This window comes from Homo sapiens, chromosome 2 (genome assembly GCF_000001405.40).
Source record: "Homo sapiens chromosome 2, GRCh38.p14 Primary Assembly".
In the NCBI taxonomy this organism is placed as follows: domain Eukaryota; kingdom Metazoa; phylum Chordata; class Mammalia; order Primates; family Hominidae; genus Homo; species Homo sapiens.
The window spans coordinates 85,933,298-85,942,612 of NC_000002.12; the positions used below are offsets into that span (position 1 = coordinate 85,933,298).

At 41.9% G+C, this 9,315-nt stretch overlaps 1 long non-coding RNA gene across 1 annotated transcript; it reads right to left on the minus strand.

The window, feature by feature from the left end:
- Positions 1-1,330: 1,330 nt before the first annotated feature.
- LOC124906031 (uncharacterized) lies at positions 1,331-4,254 on the minus strand. The gene is made up of 2 exons (XR_007087120.1): positions 4,029-4,254; positions 1,331-1,375 (listed from the first exon to the last, which is right to left on the minus strand). It is a non-coding gene; the product is annotated as an uncharacterized LOC124906031 (long non-coding RNA).
- Positions 4,255-9,315: the final 5,061 nt, after the last annotated feature.

The following is a 9,315-nucleotide window of genomic DNA, read 5'->3' on the forward strand; positions in this document are numbered from 1 at the left end:
TACGGGTTATTCGGAGAAAGACTACAGAGGTAAAGGGCCATTCTCGTCACATCATATCAAGAGTGCATACTATTAGCATTACTTATCACTTGATGTTAACCTTGATCACCTGGCTGAAGTAGTGTTTGTGAAGTTTCTCCACTGTAGTTATTCTTGTTTTCCTCTTTCACACACATGTATGCTTTGAAGGAAGTCACTATGCAGAGCCCACATGGAGGAGGCGAGAGTTATCCTCTACCTTCTTGAGGATGAACTATCTACATAAGTTATTTAGACTTTTCTACTGGGAGATCTGTCACTTCTCCATTTTAAAATTCAATCATTTATTTTTATTAGTATAACTCATAAATATTTATCTCACACTTTGGGTTATAGTCCCATATTACTTTATTTTGTTGCTCAAATTGTTCCAGCTTTGGCCTTTAGGAGCTCTTTCAATTGGCTCCTGTGCTCCTTTGACCTCTTCCCATCAATGTGAGTTGGTGTGTGTGTGTGTGTGTGTGTGTGTGTGTGTATAAAACACTTCCTTACTTTCTGGCACTACATGATGCTCCAGGCTCATCTCATCTTGTACATTTCCTGCCTGTCCTAAAATCAATCTTTCCTTTATGAGAAAAAATAGCGAACATCTGCCTCTGACTAGTCACATAGTTGGCCCTTGCTGTAAAGAGGGAGGATCACTTGAGTCCAGGAGTTCCAAACCAGCCTGGGTTACATGGTGAAACCACTGCTCTGCACAAAAACTTATATATAAAAAACAAAATTAGCCAGGCTTGGTGGCATGCGCCTGTAGTCCCAGCTACCCAGGAGGCTGAGGTGAAAGGATCACTTGATCTCAGAGTTCAAGGCTGCAGTGAGCCATGATCACACCACTGCACTTCAGCCTGTGCCACAGAGTAAGACCGTCAAAAAAAAAAAAAAAAAAAGCCACGTTTGCTCCTTCTGCTCGTTCAGAAACCTCTGACTCAGTGACTGAGCACAGCCCTCTAGAAGAATGCTTTGACCATGATAAGCAGGATAGAGAATAGGTTCCCACATCTCTTGCCTGATTACCACATTTTTAGAAAAGATAAGTTCAATGATTCTAGCCCTTGCCTTTTCCTGTACATAAGACAATGACAGGATGAAGAATTATGCTTCTGTAATCTATAACCAGATGTACTCTTACACCCAAACTTTGATGAGATTTTGCCCGAATGTAACTTCTAAATGATTATTACTTAACAATGACCGGCAATTCTGTTTCAATTAAATGTTTTTAACCTTTTGACATCTTTGGCAGGTTTCCCCAGGATCAAAACCCTAAATTAATTGGTTTTTTTTTTTTTTGGCTTCACATAACTTTGAGATTTTCCAGTTGGGGTTGCTGAAAAACCTAAAAAAAAAAAAAAAAGCATCTGTCATCTTGCACAGATGTTAAATGATTAGACTTATTTGGTAAATTATAAGGAAAGCATTATCAAATCATAAATGATACTAGGTCTTCCAGTTATATTTATGGGTATGTTATTGATATAAATGTTCTATAATTATATAAATTCAAAAATATTCTAATATGTTATCTGTCAAATAATTTTGATTGTAATGTTAAATGTTTTCCAAAGTTACATTTCCAAAGTATGGATGTTATTAATGTGAGCATTCTAAAGAGTAAATAAAATTTATAAAAGTCTGATGGTCCTGATGGGCCACTGTCTGTCATCATTCTGGTTGTTATCTTAAAATACTATATGTAATAGAAAGAACTACATTTTCTTCAATTGAGAACTTTCATCAGATTTTAACCATGGCTATTATAAGTTTTTGTCATCCACAGTTATTGTTTTGAATTATTCTCTAAGTACTCTTTTTTTTTTTTTTTTTTTTTTTTTTGAGACAGAGTCTGGCTTTGTCACCCAGGCTGGAGTGCAGTGGTGAGATCTCAGCTCACTGCAACCTCCACCTCCCCGGTTCAAACAAGTCTTATGTGTCGGCCTCCCAAGTAGCTAGGATTACAGGCGTGCACCACCATGCCTGCCTAATTTTTTTGTATTTTTAGTACAGACAGGATTTCACCAGGCTGGTCTCGAACTCCTGACCTCAAGTGATCTGCCCACTTTGGCCTCTTAAAGTTCTGGGATTACAGATGTGAGCCACTGTGACTGGCCTTAACAAGTACTCTTGAACACAGATGTCTAGTAACTTTAAGATCAATGGACTAAACAAAAAATTCCAGAACTCTAATGAGAGCATTTACGAAGATTGCCAAACAACAATCAGAACAAGAATTACATGGGACTGAACTGATGGAGAACTAAAACGATTTTCATGGGGCTGAACTGATGGAAGGTTACAGTGATTTTTATGACTTCTGTTTGAAACATTGCTGATTCTATTTATATTTTGTTTTCCAAAGTGAAGAATGCTTCTTTTCTTTTGAGCTATTTTTATCTTACAACAATTGGATAAAGTTTACTTTTGTGAACAAAATTAAAACATTTACCTTTCTCTCTACCTAAATTCTTCAAAATTGGACAACTATTCTTCAATGGCTAAAGCCACAGTACTGGTCGCCCACTGACAAGAGATGAATCATTATTCAGGAGAATGGCATGCAGCCTTGTGTTGTGACCTACCCCATGCTGCTAGCAATCTGGCCTGCCTGCAATAAGAAGATTCTTTTCCCCTGCCAAGAGAGGTAACTTCCTGGGAATGAGCCTGATAACATCTGACAAGATTAATGATTGTGCCTCTGTAATCTACCCACCCAAACTTTGATGAGATTTTGCTGTAATGTGACTTCTGAACACAAGCAGAGAACCTCCATCACCCGTATATAAGCTGTGGGCTGAAATACTGCTTTGGAGCAGTCTAACAGAAACGCTCTGAAGGACCCCTCTGGGGTTGGATTCCTCTGTAAGACTCTGAATAATACTAACTTTAAGTGTCTAAAGGCTTTTTTTGTTTGTTTGTTTGTTTTTGTTTTTGTTTTTTTCTTTAGTGGCCATTTCCAAGGAGCCCTGGTTTCTTTTATTGGAGGATGGCATTATTAGAATCTGTGCATCAAGTGTGCACATTACAAATAAGTTAAAGCCAGCTTTATTTTCATAAGGAATGAAAATCATCAGCCATGTAGGTAGACAGGGAAGGCCAGTGGCAGAAGAAGGGTCCCTGTTAGGAAGGCAGGCGGGACGAGACACTTTCCCTGGGAGAAGGGTGTGGCTGGGGCTGCGTCACAGGAAACTTGCAGAACAAAGAGAGTCCACTTAGCCCTGTTCTGACCCCATCTCAGGGTTCCTCCTGAGTGGCCAGTGGGCTGGGGGTGGGAAGAAGCAAGGGCTCTCCTCTCCCTCTCTCTCTATCCCAGGGTCACTCAGAGCACGCGGGAAGGGGCAGGAGTGGGAGGTCCCTCCTCGGTGCCCGGCTGCGCCAGCTGCTGCCGTGTTCTGGTGTACCAGGCCGGACCTTGCGCAATGCCTTTGGGGTAATCTTCAAACCTATGTCTGCTGATCACTCTCTTTAGCTGCCTGGCAGTACCGCAAACCCAGTTGTGGAAAGTCCCACCACAAGGACCTTGACAGAGGTGGAGGCCCTCCCCATGCAGAAGCCAGAGAACTGCGCCCATTCTCCCGGTATCCTTCCGTGGGGCCTCAACACAGGCGTGTACTGCTCAGTGCGCATGTGCAGTCAGGTCTGGTCGGGGCTGGTAGCGGGGCACGGGGAGGTGGGAGCTGACTCTTGCCCAGCCCTGGCCCACGGCAAGGTGTCAGGTACACTTGGTGACCGACCCAATATTAGCTCGCGAGTAGGGTTGCTAGATTTAGCAAATAAAAATATAGGACATACTTGTGCTAAATGGGGCCTGCTTATACTAAAAAAGAAATCCGTGTTTATTTGAAATTAAAATTTAACTAGGCATCCTGTGTTTTATCTGGCAGCCTCACCCAAGAGAACTGTCTGAGGACTGTCTCAAGCCAGAGCAAAGTCAGAGTTGGGGCTCTGCCCATCAGGGTGTCCTCTTTTAAGTCAGGTATCAAGTCATCTCTTACCCAGTCATTTTGCCTGAAATCCTGGTAATATTCAACACTTCCCCGGCTGACAAAAGGCAATTAGAAGTGTCAGCATTTGTTTTGCCATGCGGTGGGGTTGGGGACACTGACTGTGTCATTTACCCTCAGTCCCAAGCACAGCACCAGGGGCTCAATGTCAGGGTGATATCCAAGGAGCTGAGGCGCATGCGCCAAGAGTGTGGAAAATTCAAAGACGGCACCTGAAAAGAGAATCAACTAATCTACTGAGCCAACCAGGATGGGAGAACTGGGAAAGATGAGACAGTGGCCAAGTGTTACGGGACAATGGGGAGGTGGGTGTGGTGGAAATCTGGTGACATAGGCCCACATGCACCTGGATGTGCACCCTTTCCCACTGTGTGTGCCAATAAGGATAAGATGACCTCTGTCCTAACCCTGTATAAATGACATAAACTACAGCCAATAACTTTCCCCCATTAATATGCCTTTCTCAATGAAAGCAAGATATTCGGCTGGATGCAGTGGCTTACACCTGTAATCCCAGCCCTTTGGGACACTGAGGCAGGTGGATCACTTGAGGCCAGGAGTTCGAGACCAGCCTGGCCAACATGTTGAAACTCTGACTCTACTAAAAATACAAAAAATTAGCTGGGCATGGTGGCAGGCACCTGTAATCCCAGTTATTCAGGAGGCTAAGACAGGAGAATCACTTGAACCTGGGAGGCAGAGGTTGCAATGAGCTGAAACAAGCCAAAATCGTGCCACTACACTCCAGCCTGGGTGACAGAGCAAGACTCAGTCTCAAAAAAAAAAAAAAAAAAAAAAAGACATTCAAGCAGGCATAGCAAATATGGCATTTGCCAGTTCTCAGTTGAGAGCTGTGCTCTCTCCCATTGGATATGGACACTGCCTCAGACTCATGCTCAGCACCCTACACTGACCTTGCTAACAATACAAAACCCTTATTCCATCTCTGGTTTCTAGCTGCTTATTTCATCCCTATCCACTTCCCTGATCCCTGGACAATGCTATCGGACTCCCTGAGTCAAATGGCCCTATACATTTATGAGGATTTTTATTCTCTTTGTTTTCTTTCTGTAGCTGGGAAAGTGCTATTTTTCAAAATTTCAAGTCATTGTTCAATCCCTAGACCTGCAGGGAAGATAGCACAAGCTGAGACAGGGAGAGTCTGTACTGGGGGCCAGGGGAGTGATCGTGGGAATGTTCTTACTGGCAGCCTGAGTCTAGATGCTGGAAGATGAGTACCAGGCTTGCTTTTGGACTCCAGCTTTTTCAAAAGTGGGTGGAAAAATTATTGTACTCCTATCAATCACAATGTGACATGTTCATCTGAGTAAAATCCAACTTTGAAATGTTACATATTTTCATGCCTAAAGACTCAATCTAAATAGTTTCTGCTTTGAATTATGTGATTTACTTGAAAATTGCAGTGTACTCATCATTTCCTCCGGAAGCTTTATATCAACCTTTGACCCAAAGCAGAAAAGTTCTGGAGAAAATAATGAAATGAATGTTGGTGGCCTCATTAACATGTTAAGCACTGTGTCTAAGGCAGAAAGGGTCTTCAATAAATGGTAGCAATGTTCATTCTCCTTCATTAATTTTTGACAAATAAACATTTTCAAAATGTATCTCTAGGCTAAAGGAGTTCAAAGAAATAACAGTCACACATGTACTCAGGACTTCCATAGAAAGCTTTAAAAAAAGACATGATAATTATTGTCTAGGGTTTCTGAACCTTGTCACGATTGACATTTTGGGTCAGATAATCTTTGGTGTGGGGGCCTGTTGTGTGTACTGCAGGATGTTTAGCAACATCCCTGGTGTCTCCCCACTAGATGGGTAGCACCCTCTTCTCAATTGTCATAACCAAAAATCTCTGCAGACATTACCAAATGTCCCCTGGAGGGAAGGGCGGTGCAAAATTGTCCCCAGCTGAGAACGACTGATCATTGTCAAATCACCTGTGGTAAGGCTAACCGAAGGCAACAAAACCTTTGTTAAACCACAACTGTCTTAGAAAGAAGGGAGTATGTTATGCAATAGGACACTTTGTTCATCTTGGATCCAGTGTAGCCGAAACAATGTTGAGATAAAAGAACAAGGTTGGAGGTCACAATTCTCAATTTCAAAACTTACTAAAAAGCTACAGTAACCAAGTCAGGGTGGTACTGGCATAAGGACAGACATAGATCAATGGAACAGAATTGACAATCCAGAAACAAATCTTCGTATTTATAATCAATTGATTTTCAACAAGGGTGTCAAAACAATTCAATGAGGAAAATAATAGTATTTTCAGCAAATGGTACTGGAACAACTGCATATCCACATGCAAGAGAATGAAGTTGGACCTCTGTCTTATACCATATACAAAAATTAACTCAAAATGGATCAAAAGCCTAAATGTCAGAGCTAAAAAATTATAAAGCTATTAGAAGAAAACATAGGCATACATCTTCATGACCTTGGATTATATATGACACTAAAAACATGTGACAAAAGAAAAAAAGAAACAAATTAGACTTACTCAAAATTTAAACTCTTTGTACCTCAAAGAACATAATCAAGAAAGTGAAAAGACAACCCACAGAATGGGAGGAAATTTTCACAAATCATATGTTTGATAAAGGTCTTGTACCTAGACTATATAAAGAACTCCTACAACTCAATGATAAAAAGATAAATAACCTAATTTTAAAATGAACAAAGAATATTAATAGACATTTCTCCAAAGAAGATATACAAATGGCCAATAAGCACATGAAAAGATACTCAACATCATTAGCCATTGAGGAGCTGCCAATCAAAATATATATGTTCACCTGATTGATGGGAAAGATGACACCTACAGTATGGTGGGGCAGGGGGCAAAGATGGTCTTTTGAAGGGCAATTGAATAGTCAAATGGACAAAATAAATTGTGACCCCTACTTCACATATTGTTCATAAAAATTCCAGATGGATTGTAGGTCTAAATGTGGAAGGTTTAAAAATAAATCTTTTAGAAGAAAACTTGGGGTAGGCAAATGTTTCTTACAACGACATAAAAATAACTTATTATAAAGGAAAAAAAGAAAAATTGGACTACATTAAGATCAAGAACTGCTGTCCATCAAAAGACATCATTTAAACTGGGAAAGATAAGCATAGACTGGGAGAAGGCATTTACAATATAGGACTCATGGCAATGTGAATGCACCATTCAGGTCCTCCTTTAAGAAAGGACCCCCTGTGGAGCTGTGAGGAGTGTGATGAACTCACGACGTCCTGCTTTTGGCAGGATGCTTCAGGTCCACATCAGCTTTTGAGCCAAGGTCATGCTCTTCTTGGAGGCCATCCTCGGCCAATAATTCAGAAAGGCAAAGGTAACCAACCGTGCTCTTTGCAGAGTATGCTCCAGCCAGTGACTAAAGAAGGCAGTGATACAAAGGCCTAGCTATTTCCACCTGAATCAGGGCTCCTTTGATGGGCGGTCTTTGCTTCAGAGCTCCCTATGGGGTTATCAGAGGCCACCAGGGCTGTATTGCAGATCGATGGCTCCCCTTACCCAATCCCATCTTCTTTCCTTTTCTTTCATAGTGTACTCCACAGTAAGCCTTTTACACTTCTACCACCTCAGTCTCTGCTTCTCAGGGAACACAAACCAGTTCAACTTATATAAAATATATTTTAAAAAAAGAAAAGAAAAGAAACAGCATATATAGAAAGAACTCCTAAAATCAATAAACAAATCGGTAGACAACCCAATAGAAAATGAGCAATATACCTGAATGAGTACTTTATGAAAGAAGATATGCTAATGGCCGGTAAACAAACAAAAATACATTTGTGTTAGTTTCCTGGGGCTGCTGTAACAAATTCCCTAATCATGGCAACTTAACACAACAGATATGTATTCTCAAAGTTCTGGAGGTAAGAAGTCCAAAATCAAGGTATTGGCAAGGCCTTGCTCCCTCTGGAGGCTCTGAGGAAGTTCCATTCCTTGGCTTTTCTCACTTCTGGGGGCTGCTGGCAGTTCCTGGCTTCCTTTGGCTTGTGGCTGCATCACTCCAACCTCTACCTCCATCTTGCCCTCACCTTCTCCAATGTGAATGTCTAACCTCCCTCTGCCTCTCTTTTAAAAGAACACTAGTGTATTCTTATAAATTATTAGTCTGTATTAGTGTATTAGTCTGTTCTCATGCTGCTAATAAAGACATACCTGAGACTGGGTAATTTATAAAGGAAAGATATTTAATGGTCTCACAGTATTATGTGACTGCAGAAGACTCACAATCATGGTGGAAGGCAAAGGAGGAGCAAAGTCACGTCTTACATGGTGGCAGGCAAGAGGGCATGTATGGGGGTACTGCCCTTTATAAAACCATCAGATCTCATAAGACTTATTCACAATCACAAGAACAGCATGGGAACGACCCTCATGATTCAATTGCCTTCCACTGGGCCCCTCCCATGTCACATGGGAATTAGGGGAACTACAATTCAAGATGAGATTTGGGTGGGGACACAGCCAAACCATATCATTCTTCCCTGGCCCCTCCCAAATTTCATGTCCTCACATTTCAAAACCAATCATGCCTTCTCAACAGTCCCCCAAAGTCTTAACTCATTTCAGCATTAACTCAGAAGACCACAGTTCAAAGTCTTGTCTGAAATAAGGCAAGTCCATCCCACCTATGAGCCTGTAAAATCATAAGCAAGTTAGCTTCTTCCTGAATACAGGCATTGAGTAAATAGACCCATTCCAAATGGGAGAAATTGGCCAAAACAAAAGAGCTACAAGCCCCATGAAAGTCCAAAATCCAGAGGGGCAGCCAAATCTTAAAGCTCCAAAATGATCTCCTTTGACTCCATGTCTTATATCCAGGCCACACTGATGCAAGAGGTGGGTTCCCATTGCCTTGTGTAGCTCCACCCCTGTGGCTTTGCAGGGTACAGCCCTTCTCCTGGCTGCTTTCAGAGGCTGGTGTTGAGTGTCTGTGACTTTTCCAGGTGCACGGTACAAGCTGTTGGTGCATCTACCTTTCCAGGGTCTGGAGGATGGTGGCCCTCTTCTCACAGCTCCACTAGGCAGTGCCCCAGTGGGGACTCTTTACAGGGGCTACAACCCTACATTTCCCTTCCACACTGCCCTAGCAGAGATTCTCCATAAGGGCCCCACCCCTGCTCCAAACTTCTGCCTGGACATCCAGACATTTCCCTAAGTCCTCTGAAATCTAGGTGGAGATTCCCAAACCTCAATTATTGACTTCTATTCACCTGCAGGCTCAACACCATGTGG